The sequence below is a fragment of the Homo sapiens genome, chromosome 5 (assembly GCF_000001405.40).
Source record: "Homo sapiens chromosome 5, GRCh38.p14 Primary Assembly".
Lineage (NCBI taxonomy): Eukaryota > Metazoa > Chordata > Mammalia > Primates > Hominidae > Homo > Homo sapiens.
The window spans coordinates 121,603,635-121,627,500 of record NC_000005.10 but is presented as its reverse complement, the minus strand read 5'-3'; the positions used below and the strand labels follow the sequence as shown (position 1 = coordinate 121,627,500).

Here is a 23,866-nt window from a genome sequence, read left to right as displayed (position 1 = left end):
TAATAATAAAATATTTTGGTATTAGTACTTACTGAATTTGACACCTATTTTGGCAATGTACAAATTTTTCATTCTTTTGTTTTGTGTCAGCTTTATGTGGCTGGATATGAGGATGCCTTCATGAATATGATGAATGTACAGTATATTTAGAAAAATTACAAATGAGAAATCTACGTTTAGTCATTACTAACTTTGGTAAGGCTACAAGAAGTCTATTTAGTAGAGTTTGAGGCTAATTATCAAGTCCCTGTTCAAGCATTAATTTTGCCTGAAAAACTTTTACCCCAGTGACTTTTAATGGTCTTCTTTAGCTTCAGTACAGAAAACTTATGGAAACTATATGGAAATCCCACTACAACTATAACAGTAAGGAAGACCCCCATGCATTGCCCACTTAGTGAACATGGACCTAAAAAAGGACAAAACTTAGCATGCCAAGAGAATGGGCTGCAGAAGTGGCAGTCCAGGAAGGGGAAAAACAACAAACATAAAATTCACCTCCAACCTAAAAAACTGATTTTTCAAACCTTGATTTAGACTATACACTCTCATCATAACAACACTGTGGTGTCCAATAAATTAAATTTCTTGAGTCTAGGAAGCTTTTTACCTCTAGCCTTTACCGTATTTTTTACCTCTAGAATATACTGTAAGAAGTCACAAAGTCCCTGATTGTTCCAGCTGGTTCTTAGATTAACTCTTCTTCAGGTCCTAGCACTGACTCTGGCAGAGGTATAGTGTTGGCTAAGTGTTAATAGCTTGCTAGGAAGCCAGCATCCATTTTAGCAGATGAACACAGGTCTGTTCTAGACATTTGCTATTGTCAGTTATGTAACATGCTTATGTATCGGAGAGTTGTATTTCACAAATTTTTATTGGCAAATTATTAGTAATAAGAAAGTAATTGGGTAATTCCAATGGTAATTCAAATGGCTAATCATTATTTACTACTCTAGTAGATTTCCCTAGACATCAGATAAAGATATATTAGTACACAGAAATAAGTTTTCTATAACTATAATTTTTGTTGTTGGATCACTGTTCAATAATCCCTACCTACCTTTCATTAGAAAACTTAGGCAAGGTGAACATGTTAGGTTGAATTTTTAGAATGTAAAAAAATTATAATTTGTAATGTTAATATTAGTTTTCATTAAGAAAATGCTTTTATAGCATTAGTAATTTTAATTTTTAGTTTATAAAGTATATGAAAATAAATTTAAACTTGATGGTTTCAAATACTTGTTTTTTGTATATATATATATTTTATATACATATATAAAATATGTATGTATATCTATATATATATCTCTCTAGAGATATAGAGAGAGAGGGAAAGAGAGAGAGGATTATATTTAGTTTAAAATGCTTCTTTCCCTTATTTCTTAGCTTGGAATAGTTAGATTGTATTTCACATTTTTGTTTTATCTTTATTTCTTCCTGAAACAAGATTTCTTTTGTTCATTTTTACCTTTATTCCTTCCTGAGACACAATTTCTCTTTTTAGTGAATTGAGTAATGACACATTGTTTTGAATTTTAAAAAGCATTTTTAGCTACTTAAAGTTTAGTATTAACAGATTTCTGCGCATACACACACACACACAAGAATTTAAATATTAAAACTTAGTATTTGAAACTTAGTATTTGAAACTTAGTATTTGAAATTTAGTATTATTTGAAACTTAGTATTGAAAACTTAGTATTGAAACTTAGTATTTGAAACTTAGTATTATTTGAAATACTATTGTTTCATTTAATAATGATGATAAATGTATGATATAGCAATTTTGAAAGTGATAGGCTTGTCATCTTAATTCATGCAAGAAGCTCTGATAAAATATATTATTGATTACTAAAGTTGAACTCTGCTACAGTGACACGGGTCAGCCAGTCATCCATGGTTGCTACATTTTGTCTACTTGCCAGAGAAAAAGAGTTGATAATGAGAAATAAGAGATCCATTTTAAGGGAAACCCAGATGATTCAAGAAGAATCAAAATTCAATGCACAGGGCAAATTTCAGAACACAGGGAAGAATTATGGCAAATTATGGCCAGATGCTTAAGAACAACACTAAACTTTCTCAACTTGGACTGGAGGAGCCAGGTGGATACCTGTGGATTAAAAGAAGAAGGTATGCCACAGACTTGTAGTTTATAAATTCAAATAGGAAAGTCTACAATTACATCACAGTTCAACCAACTTAGCAGCTACTGTCTTTGGCTCCTCTTACTGCAATATTTGACACATTAGCCTGGGTCTGTGGTGAGAGACAGCAAGGTACCCTCTTCTCTCTAAGTCTGCATACACTCAGTCAAGTGCTGACCCTTCTTCTCCTTTCTTAATCTTAAACAGATCTCACTCAGATATTAGATACCCAAACAAAACTCTTATTTATAGATACAGACAGTACCCAAGTTAGGATGATTTGGTTCTAGGGTAATAAATCAATATCTCACACCACAATCATTTACTTTCCAAGCTGGAGGTACACCCAAATGAGCTTCATTCCTGGTGCACTTTCTGAAAATCTTTATAACTCAGTCTGGTTCTATATTATCTTATCACCATCTACACCAATAAGATCTCTCACCTTGCAGATGACATAGTAACAATAATTGGTTAATAATGAATAGAAGGGAGGGTGGAAATTGTCTAAGCTGAAAATTGTCAAGAGAGATGTAGAAAAAATACGTTGGAGTATAGTTTGAAGTCAGGTAGCATGATGCCTCCAGCTTTGTTCCTTTGGCTTAGGATTGACTTGGCAATGCGGGCTCTTTTTTGGTTCCATATGAACTTTAAAGTAGTTTTTTCCAATTCTGTGAAGAAAGTCATTGGTAGCTTGATGGGGATGGCATTGAATATATAAATTACCTTGGGCAGTATGGCCGTTTTCATGATATTGATTCTTCCTACCCATGAGCATGGGGACTGTTGTGGGGTGGGGGGAGGGGGGAGGGATAGCTTTAGGAGATATACCTAATGCTAAATGATGAGTTAATGGGTGCAGCACACCAGCATGGCACATGTATACATATGTAACTAACCTGCACATTGTGCACATGTACTCTAAAACTTAAAGTATAATAATAATAAAAACAAAACAAAACAAAACAAAAACAGAATTAACATGTGATTTTAGCAGGTTTGGGATCAAGAACTAACAGACCAGTGGAATAGAATAATTTAGAAACAACCATTTATGTATCAGAATTTAACATATATTAAAGAAGGCACGAAAAATCCAAAAAAAAAAAACATTGGAGTCAGCAATAATGACCTTTGTAGGTAGTAAACATTTAAAGAACTAACCTCCTTTTAGGAAAATAAAAACCATGAGTTATCAAGGTATTTTTAGAAAAGTGCTCCAATAGGAGACAGTCTGGAGGAGTAGGGCCAGCTCTGACAGCAGTCTAAGTCTTTCTTTCATAAGCTTCAACTTCGCCTTAAATTCCTAGGAGCACCTGTAGACTTGCCTCTAACACAGCGGCTCTCAACGTGTGTTCCATGATCAGCAGCATTAGTGTCACCTGGAAACTTGTTAAAAATGCAAATTCTTGCATTCCACTCCAGATCTATTGAATCAAATATTCTAGGTATAGGTTCCATTAATTGTGTTTTAACAAGACAATTAGGTTAATTGGTTTCACAATGAAGTTTGAGACCAGCTCTTTTATTAACACTGACATAGACCAAGGGAAGAGTACAAACGGAGGGCTGTAGTCAGAGGAACTAAGAAATGATGGTATGCAACATATTCATTACTGTTTCTTTTTCTAAATAAAGGAAGGAAAATTAGGTAGAAATAAGAAATGCTGAAGTACTGGGTCCAATAATTCAGTCAATCACTTGCAGTTAGAATGTATTCATGAAGGTAGAATACAATCTCTGTACTATCTCTCAAGCTTGGAACGATGTATGATACATAATGAGTACTTGAAAATATTTGTTAAATAAATAAGGGCAAATTTCATTGCAAATAATATGAGCTATTTATGTATTTTTTTAAGAGTCCAGGTTTGTTGCTGCACGCCATAGGGAAGACCAGAGTGAATACTCTCTGTGGGAGGCAGATCCGGGAAGAGGGAATCCAGAAGGAGCTGAGCCACCAGAACAATTTTCTTCTCTGAAGTTCACCAATCAAACAAATCACTTCTTCACCCTGGGAAGAAGTTAGTCAAGGTATGGAAAACACAAAGGTTTTTATTCTAGTAAAATTCCTAATACAATAATATTCAAATCCCAAAATAAATGTTTCTTTTGTTTGATTTTAAAAATCTTAAGAGCTGTATTGAGGTTTAATTGACATACTGTAACAGCAGTTACATAAAATGTACAATTTGATAAGCTTTGACATATTTATATACCTGTAAAACCATCTCCATAATCAAAATACTGAACACATCACACCCCAGAATTTTCTTTTGACCTTTCATAATGACTTGTTTTAATCCATTTCTGTTTTTTCTTATCCCAGACAACAATTGATCTGTTTTCTGTCACTATAGATTAGTCAGCATTTGCCAGAATTTTATGTAAATGAAATTACAGGGTATGTGCTTTTTGTTTGGCTACCTTCCCTCACCATAATAATTTTGAAATTCATCCACTTTGTTATGTGCCCAATAATCAATCCCCTTTTACAAAGAAGCAGTATTTCATTGTATGTTTATATCAGAATTTATTTGTCCAAATGGGCATTTGGATTATTTCTAGTTTCTGGCAATTATAAGTACAGTTGCTTAAACATTCATGTATAAGTCTTGGTGTGGACAGTTGCCTTATTTCTCCTGGGTAAATGCCCTGAAGTAGAATGGCTGGATCATATCTTAAGTGTATGTTTCACTTTTTCAGAAACTGCCAAAACATTTTAAAGCCATTGTACCATTGTTCATTTCACAGTTTGAGAGTTTCATCCTAATAGGTACATACTGATATCTTATTGTAGTTTCAATTTGCATTTCTCTAATTATTAATGATAGTGGGGTTATTGTCATATGGATTTTGTGATTGTCTACTTTGGTATGCGCTTAAATATTTTGCCCATTTTTAATTTGCTTGTGTTATTGTGCTTTGAGAGTTTTTTATGCATTTTAGATAAAAATCCTTCATCAGATATGTAAGTTACAAATGTTTTTCCCAGTCTGTATCTTGTTTTTCATTCTTGCAGTGGTGTGTTTTTGAAGAGCAGAAGTTTTTAGTTTTGATGACATTCAGTTTGTAAATTGGGCTGATTTTGCCTGCTTGGTTTTTCTTCTCATTATGGTTCATATTTTATTGCTTTTTTTCACGGCTAGTAATTTTTTACTGGATGCCAGACTTTGTAGATTTTATTTTCTTAGGTGCTGGATATGTTTGTATTTCTATAAATATATTTGGGCTTTGTTATATGATGCAGTTAAGTTACTTGGAAACATTTTGTTCATTTGGGGACTTGCTTTTACGTTTTGTTAAGTGAGGCCGGGACAAAGTTTTCTGTGGGGCTGATTTTAAACCAGTTCTGAGTCCTTCACTTGATATATCTGAATTATGAGTTTTTTCACACTGGCTAAGGGATTTGTTCCCTTAAGACTTTCAGGTGGTTCTTTCTTAGATATTAGGTAGCTTCCTCATATGCATGTGATGATCTTCTGTAGATTTCTAGAGTACTTTATCTTCATAACTCTATCCTTTTTGGTACTCCACCTAATGAATTTTGGCCACCTTGGTCTCTTCAGACTTCCAGATCCATCTGCTCATCTGAGGGAAATTACTGGGCTCTGCCTGGGGTTCTTCTTCCTTGTCCTATGATCAGGATATGCTCTCCAGGCAGCAAACTGAGAAAATCTTGGGGACTATTTTTTTTTCCTATTTATCTGGGAATCACTGATGTGTCTTGAAAACCATTGCTTAAGATATATTTTTCTTTCTTTGGTTGTTTTGGGCAAAAGGGTAAATCTGGCCAGTATTAATTCTTTTCTTCCCAAAGCAGGTTTATCCAATTTCTGATATTAAGACCGAGGAATTATAGAGGCACATACATGTTATATATGATTTCATGGTATTAGTTACATATGGTCTTGTCTATTTGTTTATAACCACTTTAAACAAAGATATATGGGGTTAGTAGTTCTTTTATATAAAATAAGTGAATTAAATGGTTGTTGTAGCATACTGAATTATTAGTGGTCTTGAACTTGGTCTCAATACATTAACGTCTCTGGTAAAATATGTGTACTGGGAAAAAATGCACTTAAATTATAACATTTTCAACACAGTACCTTTTCAGGAATATAATTATTTATAAATATGAGGTCTGGAAGTAATGCTCCCATATGGATCACAAGTATTAGGGAATCCTGGGGAAAACCAACCTGCTTATTCTAAGGTGTAAGATATAGAAAATTCAGTATTCCTTTTTCCAATTTTCCATGTTGTAGATGAACATAAAAATCCTCTAGCTTAACTATTCCCAGTGTCAGAGCACACAGTGGGTATACTACAAATGAGTGATGGATATGTCTGAGATTTTGCTTCCTGTGGCCCTTCACATGGTCTGATTGGGCCTTAGGAGGCTAGAATTGATAGAATTCCCTCTAGCCGTAATCATTCTCAGCTTACTGCAGTGTGCCCTACAAATATTATATTTTCCTATATGTGCTATGATGTGGAAAAGGTCACGATATGCTGCTCTGGTAGTTATATGTTTCCCTACTGTTTATCTTCTATCATGCCACTCTCAGTTTATAAATTTCTCTTGCTTTTCTTATTTCAAGGGATGGCTGATTTGAGGAGAAGAGGAATTTAGCCAATGGAAAGGAGAAGAATGGGCTTTCTGTAACTGTCTTTATTTCTGAATTCTATTGCCTTAGGGAGATTTTATTGTTAAAATGAAAATTCATGTGTGTCTTGACTAATACATAATATCTATAGTTGTAGAGTTAAATATATTAACAATGTAAATCAATACAGCATATGCTTTCTTAAAAAGTGATTCTCATCTTTTAAATAAATTTCCTAAGGGGAATTGATTTATTTTATAACAGATTTGATGCTTTTGCAAATACATAAGTAGATGATTATAACATGCTTTAATTTACCTGTCTGGTGTTCTAGCTTTCCCTTTAGAAATATATAAATAAAATGTACTTAGTATTTTCAGGAAAGAAGAAATCTTAAGTCGTGATATTTAGGAAGTGAAAAGTTTTTATTACCTAGCTCATGTACATTTTTCGAATTTAAGAGTCTTGTGGACTAGACATTCTATGCTACTTTTCGCAAGTTCCAGCTATACTTTGTTTATATATGTGGCCTGAAGCATTTTAAGGGGCCACTTTAAAGAAATTTTTGGATTAGAATTTGAATTTCATAGGAGTGACAGGTTTGCTTAAAGTTCTTGCATCATTTTTTCTACTAAGGGAGAGAAAGCTAAGAGAACAAACGGGCACAGACATTGAGATAGTTAAAATTCCTACCCTTATCGTCTTGTAATTATGGTATAATTGGAGAGCATAATACTTGAAGATTTCCTGTATTCCGTAATATATAATTTACCATTTCTCTTTTCATGTGAACTTTGACACCAGATGAACAGCAGAAATAGAAAAGTATGAGTAAATAGTATTTATTTTTATTTAGTAGAGAGAAAAGTCAGACAAGTGGCCAATTCCACACATTTTAAATTAAAATGAATATATATAAAACAGTGCAGACATACCTTTTGCTTTTATAACTATTTTTACAACTTAATTGAAGTATAATTGATATATGACAAACTGCCCATATTTAAAGTATGCAATTCGATATGTTTGACCTAGTTATATGCTGATGAAGCCATCACTATAATCAAGATAATGAACATATCTATTATGGCAAAGTCTCATTGTCCTTCTTTGTAATCACATCATCCCATTCAGCTTACCCAAGATAATCACTGAACAGCTTTTTGCCATTATAGATTACTTTATATTTTCCATAAATTTATATAAATTGAATCCTACAGTATGTACCATCTTTTGTCTGCCTTTTTCACTCAGCATTATTATTTTGAGAGTCCTCTATGTTGCTACATGCATCCTTAGTTCATTACATTTATAGCTGAATAGTATTCCCTTTTATGAATATGCCATAATCCATTTATTGAGTCAGCTGTTTTTGGACATTTGGGTTATTTCCAGTTTTGAGCAACAGCATGTAAGGACCATATGAACATTCATATAAAATCCTTTGTATGAAGATATTCTTTGATTTATGTTTAGGTATATACATCTACGAGTAAAATATATGGGACATAAGCCAGGTATATGTTTAACTTTAAAATAAAAAAGCTAATTTTTTTTCCCAAAGTGATTGCAGCATTTTACATTTCCAAGAAGCAGTGTTTGAAAGCTTCAGTTGCTCTACATTCTCACCAACACTTGGTCTGCTGTCTTGATAATTGTGGCCATTCTGAAAGGTGTGTAGTGATACCTTATTGTGGTTTTAATTTCTATGTAACTAATGACTAATGATATTAAAAACCTTTTTATGTGGTTACTGTATCTACTTTGGTGAAGTGTCTATTCAAATATTTTGCCTATTTTTAATAGGTTTGTTTGTGCTTATATTTTGAGTTTTAAAAAAATGTATTCTTAATACAAGTACTTTTTCAGACAGTTATTTGTGACTGTATTTTCCCAGGTTGGCCTTTATTTTCATTTTCTTAATAATGTTTTTCAAAGAGAAGATATTCTTAATTTTGATGAAGTGCTATCATTTTAAAAAGTGAATCATGCTTTTTGCTGTCATAACCAAGAAATTTTTACCTAATCCAAAGTCTTAAAGGTTTTCACCTATGCTTTCTTCAAGAAATTTTACAGTTTTACTTTTTACATTTAGGTCTATGATCATTTTGGGTTAATTATTTTATACCATGGGACATAACATTTGGTTTTAGTATGGATATTGAATTGTTCCAGTAACATTTTTTGAAATGATTTTTTATATTAAATTGTTTTTGTGTGTTTTAGAAATCAGTTGACTATAGATTTGTCAGTTTATTTTAGACTCCATTTTCTATTTTTATTAGCTGTCTTGATGCCAGTACCATACTTGATTGTTGTTTTAAAATAATTCTTATAATCAGGTAGTATAAATCCACCAACTTTTTTATCAATATTGTCTTCAAATGTTTAGATCCTTTCATTTTTGTATAGAATTTAGAGTCAGCTTATCAATTTCTACTAAAAAGCTGGGAGTTTGATTGGGATTGCATTAACTGTATAGATCAATTTTGGAAGAATTGACATCTTAACACTATTCAGTTGTCTGAACTAGGAGCACAGTGTATCTATTTGTCTACGTTCTCTTCAATTTCTCTCAGCGACGTTTTGTAGTTTGCAATGCATAGGTCTTCCTCTTCTTTTGCCAAATTTGTCTTGAGGTCAAAAGGTGACCATACACAATTAGCAACACTAAGTTACCCTCTTTATAAAATAAACTAATTGGAATGGAATTTAATGTCACACTGCATGTGCACATGCACATAATTGACAAATGAAACTTTCTTAATTTTTCTCTTGGCGCTAATTTAGTCTTCTTTTTAAATTGTGAAAATCCTTGTTATGCCCTGCATAAGCTTTGGGAAAAGAAACCTTTTAAAATCCTTTCCAGGCATCTTTTAGCAGGCTTTGATTTTGTGCCCAGAATTTGTTCCTTCTGGTGCGTTCCTGCTCTCGCTGACTTCAAGAATGAAGCCGCGCACCCTCGTGGTGAGTGTTACAGTTCTTAAAGATGGTGTGTCTATAGTTTGTTCCTTCCGATATTCAGATATGTCCAGAGTTTCTTCGTTCTGGTGGGTTCGTGGTCTCGCTTGACTTCAGGAGTGAAGCCCAGACCTTCACAGTGCGTGTTACAGCTCTTAAAGGTGGCGCGTCCGGAGTTGTTTCTTCCTTCTGATGGACTCGTGGTCTTGCTGACTTCAAGAGTGAAGCTGCAGACCTTCGCGGTCAGTGTTACAGCTCTTAAAGGTGCCGCGTCCACAGTTGTTCGTTCCTCCTGGTGGGTTCACGGTGTCTCTGACTTCAGGAGTGAAGCCAGAGACCTTCGCAGTGAGTGTTACAGCTCTTAAAGATGGCGCGTCGGGAGTTGTTCGTGCCTGCGGGCGGGTTTGTGGTCTCTCTGACTTCAGGAGTGAAGCTGCAGACTTTGCGTTAAGTGTTACAACTCATAAAGGTAGTGTGAACCCAAAGAGTGAGTAGCAGCAAGATTTATTGCAAAGAGCAAAAGAACAAAGCTGCCACAGCATGGAAGGGGACCCAAGTGGGTTGCTGCTGCTGGTTGGGGTGGCCAGCTTTTATTCCCTTATTTGGCCTCACCCACATCCTGCTGATTGGTCCATTTTACAGAGTGTTGATTGGTCCGTTTTTACAGAGTGCTGATTGGTGTTTTTACAAACCTTTAGCTGGACACAGAACACTGATTGGTGCATTTTTACAGAGTGCTGATTGGTACGTTTACAAACCTTTAGCTAGACACAGAGCGCTGATTGGTGCATTTACAATCCTTTAGCTAGACAGAAAAGTTCCCCAAGTCCCTACCCCACCCAGAAGCCCAGCCTGCTTCACCTCTCAATTTCACTAAAGGAGGAGCCATAGTTTCCCATTTCTTAATTTCTTTTTTTTTTGTCAGTATCCAAAATCATTTTAATAAAGTGTAGGATCCAGGGTTTGTTTTCATATCTTCGGCTGGCCCGTAGGCCTCCACTGCACTCAAACTTTCGGACCTTGGAGCAAACGTAGGGTTTGGTGTGGCTGTGCCGGGTTCCCGGGGCCTTGCTGAAATGCCAGTACACCTCTGGACCCTTGTGAAGATCGGAGAGCATAACGGTGCTGCAGCCCTTGCAGGAGTCCAGGGCCAGCTGGTCAAAAGTGAGGATCTTGCCCCGACCCTGAGGATGCTGCTGCGGTCTGGCCAGCTGGTCACGCGCAGCACACACACCTTCAGTTTGGGCACCTCCTGAACCCGCACATCATCCATTGTGGTCCCCACAACCACAGCCGTTTTGTTTTCCCGGCCGAGAAGCTTCATCATCCGGATCATCTGGCAAAGGGACAGAGGTGGCTGTTTGGTGCGACTCATAAACAACCTCTTCAGCACAACCTGGTTGAATGTGGAGTTGGTTAATCTGGCCAGAAACCTGTACAGCTTGACCAACAGCCTCAGGTAGATATCCTGGCTCTTGGGCTCCTTGCGCTGAACCTTTGGTCCTTGTTGTGGTGGATGTGGACTCCCATGATGGCGCCTACGCTGGGGCAGGTCCATAAAGCTTAGTTTTCCATTTCTAACAACTTAAGGGAAAAACCTCTCTTTTTAAAAACCTTTCCTAGTTCCACAGCTTTTTTGAGTCTTCCCCCCGCCATAACTTACAATAAATATATTTTTAAAAAATCACAGTTGATAAAATACTAGCTTTCATTAAAGTAGCATAACAACTGAGAGTTTTTCTCCCCCAACATTTTTTGAATGCAACTTGTAAGTGTCAATAGTCCTTTATTTTGTAAGAACTTATTTTGTAAGTTTTATGACATTCCATGTTTTGGTAATCCACAGTTGCTTTATATATAATTGAACAAATTTACATTTTTTAAAAAAATTATAAAACCCTGCATCTTCTGTAGAATAGTTTATTGCCTATGTTTTGAAAGAGAGTTCGCTATCTAAATGGAATTTGCGTCACTCCATATGATATAACTTTACAAAATCCATTTAAATAGAACAGATTTAAAATAGATTTCTAAAGTGATTTCTACCATAAAAGTTGGGGCAGGGCAAAAGACACATCCTGCCTTGAAGATTTGTGACAAATTTTTCTCACAGAGTGAATTAACTTTAGTTTTTACTTTCTATATAGATCAAGAATTTATAATTTTTACATTGTCTTAAAACTAATACAAATTATTTATGGTTGCCAGTTATATGTCATCCTCTGCCATATGTGATGCCCTACTATGTATGGGATTGTCAGCATTTTTCACTCTTGGATATATAAATTGTAACATGCAAACTTCATTTTGACATTTTGGAGTATATTATGACTTAATGTGAGGCCCTTCTTCCATTTTGCCATGGCCAGAAACCATACTGATTCTTCATAAGGTACAGAATATAAAAGTAATATGATATATTATTTTTCTTTAATGAGCATAAAATTAAGGTAAAGTTTTAAAAATCCACACGTGGAACAAATAAAGGGAATGTGTAGAAACAAGTACTTATTTGGTAAAGGTGTAGATACGGTATTGTGTAGTAGAAAAGTCACAGGCTGTGATTAAAGAAAAGTGCATTTGATTTATATCCTTCTCAGTGACTGGCTGAATCATCTTCAGAAAGTTATGTGACCACTTCAAGCTTCAGATTCTACATCTGTACATTGGCTACAATAATGCCTACCTCATATAATTGACGTTAAAATTAATTATCAAAACTATGTAGCAGTGAGAACTCATGTAATAGCACCTATACCTGCTCTGTATTCTAGTTTATTCTATAGTAGAATTCTAAGTGTTATGTGGTATAAATAATACATCCTTCTCTAGCTAGTGATTTACTTAGCAGCAGTACTGATAATGTAATTATGTATTATGTATTCACATTACAGAATATGACATTATAGAAATGTGTAGTAGTTAAATATTGGGATAAAGAATATAGATACTTTGGAGGTTTTCAAGGGGTGGAATAGGTAGAAAAAAGCCGTGATGAATTTAGATGTTTTAGAAGAGTCAAGTAAATATGCGGTTATATTCACAAAAAATTACAGCACCTTTCCCCATTCAGTTATGATTTCATTTAAAATAAATTTGAATATTTCATTAATCATTAATTACTCTGGAGTTAAAATTTGATGTCCAAACTTAAAAACTGAAGAATAACGAGAAATAGTAAAAGCTGAATATAACAGAATGTATATTGACTCATTTAAAACTCGCTTAGCTTATTAAGATTTGAGGATTCTACAATACAAAATTAAAATTTTCACCTATAGTTGTAGGAAAAGATTGAATTCTTTAAGATTTTAAAATTCTGGAATCTTGTTGTCTAGTAGTGTGAAAGATAGATTAAAATAGGCAAGAAGAAACATTAATACCATTCCAAGTGCGAAGAGAGTGGTTTCTTCTGCCAGTAGGCTCAAAAAGTCCCTGGAGAGAAAGAATTTCTGAGTGAAAATCTGTTGCTCCACCTGCTTTTCCTCACCTCCCTTGCCCCCATGTAATGCCTTCAGAAAAGCAGAGGATAATTGTTACTTTCGGAAAAACCCAGATATTAGAAGACAGTTGCCCAGAAAAGGACGTATTAGAAAGCGTAAGCATTCCTGAGAACATTTGGCAGACGATCACAATATAGTGTCATCTGAATGAAATATATGGTGGTATAATTCAAATAACTCTTTATTCTAGAATTAGTGCAATAGCCTTCTGTTTTTATATGTTGAATATAATAACAAAACCAAAGGCCACTGGACTCCAGTTGTCTTTCATTCATGTCAGTATTATAGAAAGATATTCTCTGATAAATTGGCACATTTGGTCATAGTTCTCTTTTCAGGTACAACTTTAATACAGTTTCTTTATGGCTATCCCTGTTTTTGCTTATAATTTAGCCATATTTCCAATTTTTACACTTGATCTTAGCCAAAAGGCTGAAAGGCGATACGTTTCTGGTTTTTAAATGCTCTTATAGTTTCTTTTATCTTAAAACATTTTATTTCTTTAGCAATAGGCTGTTTATAGAAACATACATTAAACAGACCAAATCCATTCCATTATATGAACAATATAAGATAAGTATTCCTATTTAATACAAAAAAAATAATACCATTGCCTTCTGGGAGTTCATTCTATCAGGTTGTATAGAGATTCACTTTAACTGTCATATGATACACTGTCTGGTAAATGCTGTAAAATACTAGTGAAGTAAATTTGAGTATATTGATTTACTTTTAAACTTGTTTCATTCCACTGCATACAGAAAAACTCATAATTTGCTTGGAGTCGTATTCAAAAATGAGTTCTATTCACATCATAATTTTATTTTGTGACAGAACAGTGAATCTTGATTAGATAAAAGTTAAAAAATGGCTTAAAATATTCATTTAGTCAACATCAAAAAATATGGTAAAGATCTAAACTAAATATAGAAAATGTTTAAATTATTATATTGAACATAACTTTTTGTATATTGCTACAGAAGCTTTTTTTTTTTAGTTGACATATTCCTATTCTAAAAATACCTTTTAAAACCTTGGATAAATGAATTATCTCCATATATCAACTATTCTAATATTTTTACCTACTTAAATCAGGGTTACATGGACTGCAAATTGAAAGCTATAGAAAGACTGATGAAACCTTCTGAATTTACCATTTGGTAACTATCACATTAAAAGTTGTTTCAGGTAATAATCATCAATGGATGTTAAAAATAGTGTACAAAAGTTTAATTAGAGGCAGAATATTTATAGCATCTTAACATTTTGACATAAGATATTTATTAAATAGAAAGGGAAAAAGATTAACTTTACAGTGAAAAAGAAATCTGGCAAATATTATCTAAACTAAGTGATCAAAGTTAACATCACCAATAAAGGAACAGAGCAGACGTTTGCCTATGAATATGATGCACTTGAAAAAAACATATCATTTCTATAGAATCTGTTAGAAAAACTTGTAACATGAATCTGTTTATGAGAAAACATCAAGCAAACCCAGTTTAAGGAACAGTCAATAAAATAAATGAAACCCTTCAAAAATATCAACTTCATGAAAAACAAGAAAACTAAGGTACTGTTTGAGATAAAAAGAGATGAAACAGGCCGGGTGCGGTGGCTCATGCCTGTAATCCCAGCACTTTGGGAGGCCAAGGCGGGCAGATCACCTGAGGTCGGGAATTCGAGACCCACCGTGACCAACACGGAGAGACCCCGTCTCTACTAAAAATACAAAATTAGCCGGGTATGGTGGTGCATGCCTGTAATCCCAGCTAATTGGGAGGCTGAGGCAGAAGAATCGTTTGAATCCAGGAGGTGGAGGTTGCAGTGGGCCGAGATTGCACCATTGCACTCCAGCCTGAGCAATAAGAGCAAAACTCTGTCTCAAAAAAAAAAAAAAAAAAAAAGAGTTGAAAGAAATATGAAAACTGACAACAATGAGGTATTTTTGTGGGGTGCCTTTTTGTTGGTATTTTACTGTTTTTCTCATGATTAAACTGGGGTTGTAGGTTTTACAGAGAAATACTGTAGGCATAAAGTGTTATTTTTATAATCTTGAGTATGTACTTTCACTGTATGATTGCTGATAATGACCTTGATCACCTGGCTCAGGTATCATTTGCCATGTTTTTCCACTGCAATTTTCCAGAGTAATATTACTCTATCCATCCCCCCCTTTTATACTGTATTCTCTGAAGGAGTTACTACATGCAGCCTAGATTTAAGAAGTGAGGAGTTAGCTCTCACCATTTGAGGACACAGAGTCTTCATTAGCTATTTGGAATTCTTCTGTATAGGAGATTTGCCTATTCTCACTCCCATTCATTTATTTATTAATTTTTTTTAAGTATGTACATAGATATTTATTTTATACTTTGGGTTATAACCCAATACTATTTTGTTCTTTTTTCTTTTCCTTTGCTTGACTTGTTTTAGCTTGGGCCCTTGGCAAATCTTTCAATTGACTCCTGTGTCCTTTTGACATAACTCCATAATTGTGTGTATTTGTGTGTGTTGTGTGAGTGTGTTAATACTTTTTTGGCACAATAAAATTCTCCCAGTTCATCTGTTATATTTTCTGCCGAAGTTTCAGAATCAGACATTGCTCCAAGGAGCCTTGGCTTATTTTACTGGAGAACAGTATTAGGACTCTAGATCTGAGCACTATTCTGCTTATTACTACTGGGTGTCATTGTTTTTAGGCCCTCTCAGCTGACAGAGCTGGATAATATATGCATTAATAACCCATGAATATAGACATATCTATAAATTTTGTTTTATGTAACCACTTGTATCTTTATGAAATTAAACATGAGTTCACACTGATGTCTTCAACTGTAATCCATCACCACATAAGTCACTTCAGCCTTCTTATTTGGCTTATCTGTAAATTTTCACTCCAACAATATGAAATTTGGCTCCAACAATTTGCCACTTATTTATTTATTTGCTCATTTCCAATATTTATAGATAGCAGTATCAGAAATGTTAGTCCCAAAAGCAATCTATCTTCAAAACGCAGTTCCCATCACAATACCACCATTATTCATGGAACACAATGTGGAGATTCCTTAAAGAACTAAAAGTGGAATTACCATTTGATCCAGCAATCCCACTGCTGGGTATTTCCCAGAGGAAAAGAAGTCATTATATGAAAAAGATGCTTGCACATGCGTGTTTGTAGCAGCACAATTCACAATTGCAAAAACAAGGAACCAACTCAAATGCCCATCAATCAATGATAAAGAAACTGTGGTATATATGTGTATATATATGTGTGTGTATATATATGTGTATATATATGTATTATATATGTGTGTATATATGTGTATATATATACATTTATAATACAGTACGATTGACTTGCCACCACCTGCATTCCTTTCTGAGATCACTTCAACTTCTAAATGACTTTTTATATTTGCTTACATGAAGGCTTTTGTGCTATAAAGTTTTGCTGCCAACATTGGTTACCATATGGTTATATGTCAAAGTGTGGAGAAATGGCACATTTTATGTTGCAGTCTTATGTGTCTGCCTTTATCTTTCCTTTTCTCTTTTCTTCCTTTTGTTTTTTCATTTTATCTTCTTACTCTTCTTATTTCTCCTCCCCTATCTCTTCTTACTCTCCCTCTTCCTCTTCTCTTCTGGCTGCTCTATTTCTTCTACCTCCTTTCTCTTCTTTTATCTCCTTGATTTTCTCTATTTCTTCTTCTCCTTTTCTTAATTGCTCTCCTTTTTATTTATTGGTCTCCTGCCTGCAAAACCTTGCAATTGGATAAAGTGGTCTTTAACTTACTACCGTAATTTCTAAATCACTTTTTATTTAGTTTAAGAACAATCATAAAACCAGTTGCTGTCATTGGAGAGTAGAAAAAATACTTTATAGGAGTGAATGGCTGGAGATAGTAAACATTTTTTTTTCTGCATAAGGTAAATACTAAGTGAAGTAACTCAGGAATGGAAAGCCAAATATTGTATGTTTTAGAAATGAATAGATTCAGGTGAGAAGGAACTAAAATAGTGCACATTTTAATTAATAGAGTAGAAATAAGAATGAAATGATTATATATAGCAGATAATCATCCTTCCATATTATAATTAGCAGCTATTCTACTTGAGCTAATGAACTCCCTGGGTTTCTTGTTTCCACACTTCATGTTCTGCAGAGGAGCAGGCCCCTCTCCAGCCCAATAGAGTGAATTTTTTTCAGCATGCACTCCTACACTAAACAAAATTCACACTAAACAAAATCCACCCTGAGAAAGCATGTGATGCAGTTGTAAACAACTATTGTGAGGGCAGTAAATCTACCAGAAGGCTCTGGGAAGGGTTTGAGGTTTATAAAGTTTTATAAAGAGTCTTTTAAGCAATCCTTTTTTTTGCAAGTTGTCTTTGACATGTCAGCATGTGGTACATGAGATTTTAGCAACTGTCTAGGGTTAGGAGAGAAGCTAAACTGAAGACAACATGTTAACAGTGACAGACCGGATGAAATGGAAGGTACTTTGGGATTTGAATGAAAATATTAAACAACCGTATTAACCTCAAATACTACCCTAGTCTAGAGTTCTGCTTATGTGGGATTATGAATTATTTTGTTGGCTAAGCCTTTTGGAGTTGTGTTCACTGTTACTTGTAACTACAAACTTTGAGTCTTTTTGACATGCTGCTAAAAAAATTTCTAAGATATTGAGATTATTTCCAGATCACAGAAGTTATAGTTTTAAGATTTCTTAAGAAACATTTATTTTCCAGAGAATAGAAAATATGACACCTCACACATACCATATAATTTCCTTATTTAAAGTGTACAGTTTAGTTTTGTTTAATATATTTGCAGGATGAGCAACTATCACCAAAATTAATTTTCAAATAGTTTTATTACTCTCTTCCTCCAAAAACCCCATACCCATTAGCAGTCATTCCCCATTCCTTCTCTGCTGCCACCTTTCCAACTCAGTCCCAGGCAACTTCTTCTGATTTTTCTGACTATAGATTTGCCTGTTCTAGACATTTCACATAAATGGGATCACATGATATGCAGCCTTTTGTGACTGAGTTCTTTTACTTAGTGTAAATGTTTCCAAGGTTTACCTGTGTTGTTCTATGTACAAATTCTTGATCCTTATTTCTGAATAATATTTTGTTATATGAGTATATGACACTTTGTTTATTCATTCCTGTCAGCTGATGGAATTATGGACTGTCTTTACTTTTTGAGTATATGAGTAATGCTGCTATGATAATTCATGTGCAAGTTTTTTGTGGGCGTGTTTTTATTTATCTTGGGTACACCTAGGAGTGGAATTGTTGGGTCATATGGCGACTCTATTATTAAGACTTGAAAACCTGCCAAACTATTTTCCAATATGACTGCAGCACTTTGCATTTCTACCAATAATGGATGAGGGACCCTGTTTCTCCACATTATCATCAATCCTTGCCGTTGTCTTAAATGTAGACATCCTGGTGAGTGTGAAATTGTATGTTGCCCCTAATGATGTTGAGCATCTTTTCTTTGTCTTATTGGCCATTTGTGTGTCTTCTTTGGAGAAATACCTATTCAAATCCTGTGACTATTTTTAATTTGGGTGAGCTACCTATGGGCTGTCTTTTCATTTCTTGATAGTGTCCTTTGAAGCACAAAAGTTTTAATTTGATGAAGTCTTATGCTTTTTTTTTTTTTTAAATTAGACTTTAAGTTCTGGGATACAAGGGCAGAATGTGCAGATTTGTTACATAGGTATACACGAGCCATGGTCGTTTGCTGCACCTATCAACCCATCATCTATTTCTTCTAATGTTATCCCTCCCTAAGCCCCCCACCCCCCGACAGGCCCCGGTGTGTGATGTTTCCCTCTCTGTGTCCATGTGTTCTCATTGTTCAGCTCCCACTTATGAGTGAGAACATGCTGTGTTTTGTTTTCTATTCCTGTGTTAGTTTGCTGAGAATGATGGTTTCCAGCTTCATCCATGTCCCTGCAAAGAACATGAACTCATCCTTTTTCATGGCTGCGTAGAATTCCATGGTGTATATGTGCCACATTTTCTTTATCCAGTCTATCATTGATGGGCATTTGGCTTGGTTCCAAGTCTTTGCTATTGCGAATAGTGCTGCAATAAACATACGTGTGCATGTGTCTTTATAGTAGAATGATTTATAATCCTTTGGGTATATCCCCAGTAATGGGATTGCTGGGTCAAATGGTATTTCTGGTTCTAGATCCTTGAGGAATTGCCAAACTGTCTTCCACAATGGTTGAACTAATTTACACTGCCACCAAGAGTGTAAAAGTGTTCCTATTTCTCCACATCTTCACCACCATCTGTTGTTTCCTGACTTTTTAATGATCACCATTCTAACTGACATGAGATGGTATCTCATTGTGGTTTTAATTTGCATTTCTCTAATGACCAGTGATGATGAGCTTTTTTTCATATGTTTGTTGGCTGCATAAATGTATTCTTTTGAGAAGTGTCTGTTCATATCCTTTGCCCACTTTTTGATGTGATTGTTTGTTCAAGTTCCTTGTAGATTCTGGATATTAACCGTTTGTCGATGGATAGATTGCAAAAATTTTCTTCCATTCTGTAGGTTGCCTGTTTACTCTGATGATAGCTTTTTTTGCTGGGCAGACGTTTTTTTGTGCTTGTTTGTTTGTTTTCTGAGACAGAATCTCACTCTGTTGCCAGAATGGAGTGCAGTTGTGCAATCTTGGCTCACTGCAACCTCCACCTGTTGGGTTCAAGTGATTCTCCTGCATAGGGCTACTGAGTGGCTGAGACTAGAGGTGTGCACAACCACACCCAGCTAATTTTTGTATTTTTACTAGAGATGGGATTTCACCATGTTGGCCAGGATGGTCTCGATTTCTTGACCTAATGATCCGCCTGCCTCGGCCTCCCAAAGTGCTAGGATTACAGGCATGAGCCACCGTGTCTGGCCAAAAGCCCTTTAGTTTAATTAGATCCCATTTACCAACTTTGGCTCTTTTTGCCTTTGCTTTTGGTGTTTTAATCCTGAACTCTGTGCCCATTCCTATGTCCTGAATGGTATTGCCTAGGTTTTCTTCTAGTGTTTTTATGGCTTTAGGTCTTACGTTTAAGTCTTTAATCCATCTCGAGTTAATTTTTGTGTAAGGTGTAAGGAAGGAGTCCAGTTTCAGTTTTCTGCATATGGCTAGCCAGTTTTCCCAACACTATTTATTAAATAGGGAGTCCTTTCCCTATTGCTTGTTTTTGTCAGGTTTGTCAAATATCAGATGGTTGTAGATGTGTGACATCATTGCTGAGGCCTCTGGTCTGTTCCATTGGACTATATATCTGTTTTGGTACTACTACCATGCTGATTTGGTTACTGTAGCCTTGCAGTATAGTTTGAAGTCAGGTAATGTGATGCCTCCAGCTTTGTTCTTTTTGCATAGGGCTGTATGGGATTTTTTTTTTTTTTGGTTCCATATGAACTTTAAAGTAGTTTTTTCTAATTCTGTGAAGGAAGTCATTGGTAGCTTGATGGGGATAGCATTAAATCTATAAATTACTTTGGGCAGTATGGCCATTTTCACGATATTGATTCTTCCTATCCATGAGCATGAAATGTTTTTCCACTAGTTTGTGTCCTCTCTTATTTCCTTGAGCAGTGGTTTGTAGTTCTTGAAAAGGTCCATCACATCCTTTGTAAGTTCTATTGCTAGGTATTTTATTCTCTTTGAAGCAATAATGAATGTGAGTTCACTCATGATTTGGCTCTCTGTTTATCCGTTATTGGTATGTAGGAATGCTTGTGATTTTTGCACATTGATTTTGTATCCTGAGACTTTGCTGAAGTTGCTTATCAGCTTAAGGAGATTTTGGGCTGAGACGATGGGGTTTTCTAAATATGCAATCAATGTCATCTGCACACAGAGACAGTTTGACATCCTCTCTTCCTATTTGAATACCGTTTATTTCTTTCTCTTGCCTGATTGCTGTGGCCAGAACTTCCAATACTGTGTTGAATAGGAGTGGTGAGATGGGGCATCCTTTTCTTGTGCTGGTTTTCAAAGGGAATGCTTCCAGTTCTTGCCCATTCAGTATGATATTGGCTGTGGGTTTGTCATAAATAGCTCTTATTATTTTGAGACACATTCCATCAATACTGAGTTTATTGAGAATTTTTAGCATGAAGGTGTGTTGAATTTTATCGAATAGCTTTTCTGCATCTATTGAGATAATCATGTAATTTTTGTCACTGGTTCTGTTTACGTGATGGATTACGTTTATTGACTTACGTATGTTGAATCAGCCTTGCATCCCAGGGATGAAGCCAACTTGATCGTGTTGGATAAGCTTTTTGATGTGCTGCTGGATTTGGTTTGTCAGAATTTAATTGCGGATTTTCACATTGATGTTCATCAGGGATATTGGCCTGAGGTGTTCTTTTTTTGTTGTGTCTCTTCCAGGCTTTGGTATCAGGATGATGCTGGCCTCAATATGTGAGTTAGGGAGGAGTCCCTCTTTTTCTATTGTTTGAAATAGTTTCATAAGGAATGGTGCCAGCTCCTCTTTGTACCTCTGGTGAATTTGGCTGAGAATCTGTCTGGTCCTGGGCTTTTTTTAGTCGGTAGGCTAACAATTACTGCCTCAATTTCAGAACTTGTTATTGGTCTATTCAGGGATTCAAGTTCTTCCTGGTTTAGAACTGGGAGGGTGTATGTTTACAGGAATTTATCCATTTCTTCTAGATTTTCTAGTTTATTTGAATAGCAGTGTTTATAGTATTCTCTGATGGTAGTTTGTATTTCTGTGGGATCAGTGGTGATATCCCCTTTTTCATTTCTTATTGTGTCTATTTGATTCTTCTCTCTTTTCTTTATTAGTCTGCCCAGCTGACTAGCTATTTTGTTAATATTTTCAAAAAACCAGCTCCTGGATTCATTGATTTTTTGAAGGGTTTTTTGTGTCTCTGTCTCCCTCAGTTCTGCTCTGGTCTTAGTTATTTCTTGTCTTCTGCTACCTTTTGAATTTGTTTGCTTTTGCTTCTCTAGTTTTTTTTAATTGTGATATTAGGATGTCGATTTTAGAACTTCTTCCTTTCTCCTTTGGGCATTTAGTGCTGTAAATTTCCCTCTAAACACTGCTTTAGCTGTGTCTGAGGGATTCTGGTACACTGTGTCTTTTTCTCATTGTTTTCAAAGAACTTATTTATTTCTGCCTTAATTTTGTTATTTACCCAGTAGTCATTCAGGAGCAGGTTGTTCATTTTCCATGTAGTTGTGCAGTTTTGAGTGAGTTTCTTAATCCTGAGTTCTAATTTGATTGCACTGTGGTCTGAGAGACTGTTATGATTTCCATTCTTTTACATTTGCTGAGGAGTGTTTTACTTCCAATTATGTGGTGAACTTTATAATAAGTGCAATGTGGTGCTGAGAAGAATGTATAATCTGTTAATTTGGGGTGGAGAGTTCTGTAGATGTCTATTAGGTCTGCTTGGTCCAGAGCTGAGTTCAAGTCCTGAATATCCTTGTTAATTTTCTGTCTCATTGATTTGTCTAATATTGACAGTGGGGTGTTAAAATCTCCCACTATTATTGTTTGGGAGTCCATGTCTCTTTGTAGGTCTCTAAGAACTTGCTTTATGAATCTGGGTGGTACTGTATGGGGTGCATATATATTTAGGATAGTTAGCTCTTCTTGTTGCATTGATTCCTTTACCATTATGTAATACCCTTGTTTGTCTCTTTTGATCTTTGTTGTTTTAAAGTGTGTTTTATCAGTGACTAGGACTGCAACCTCTGCTTTTTTTTTTTTTTCTTTTCATTTGCTTGGTAAATCTTCCTGAATCCCTTTGTTTTGAGCCTATGTGTGTCTTTGCATGTGAGATGGGTCTCCTGAATACAGCACACTGATGGGTCTTGACTCTATCCAATTTGCCAGTCTGCACCTTTTAATTTGGGCATTTAGCCCATTTACATTTAAGGTTAATATTATTACATGTGAATTTGATCCTGTCATTATGATGCTAGCTGGTTATTTTGCCTGTTAGTTGATGCAGTTTCTTCATAGCGTCGATGGTTTTTACAATTGGGTATGTTTAGCAGTGGCTGGTACCTGTTTTTCCTTTCCATATTTATTCCTTCCTTCAGGAGCTCTTGTAAGACAGGCCTGGTGGTGACAAAAATCTCTCAGGATTTGCTTGTCTGTAACAGATTTTATTTCTCCTTTGCTTATGACACTTAGTTTGGCTGGATATGAAATTCTGGGTTGAAAAAAATTTTTTTAAGAATGTTGAATATTGGTCCCCACTCTTCTGGCTTGTAGGGTTTCTTGCAGAGAGATCAGCTGTTAGTCTGATGGGCTTCCCTTTGTGGGTAACCCTACCTTTCTCTCTCTGTGGCTGCCCTTAACATTTTTTCCTTCTTTTTAACCTTGGTGAATCTGATGATTTTGTGTCTTGGGGTTGCTCTTATCGATGAGTATCTTTGTGGTGTTCCCTGTATTTCCTGAATTTGAATGTTTGCCTGTCTTGCTAGGTTGGGGAAGTTCTCCTGGAAAATATTCTGAAGAGTGTTTTCCAACTTGGTTCCATTCTCCCTGTCACTTTCAGGTACACCAATCAAACATAGGTTTGGTCTTTTCACATAGTCCCATATTTCTT

General features: G+C 35.3%; 1 pseudogene; it reads right to left on the bottom strand.

The window, feature by feature from the left end:
- RPL18P3 (ribosomal protein L18 pseudogene 3) lies at positions 10,644 to 11,286 on the bottom strand (annotated as a pseudogene).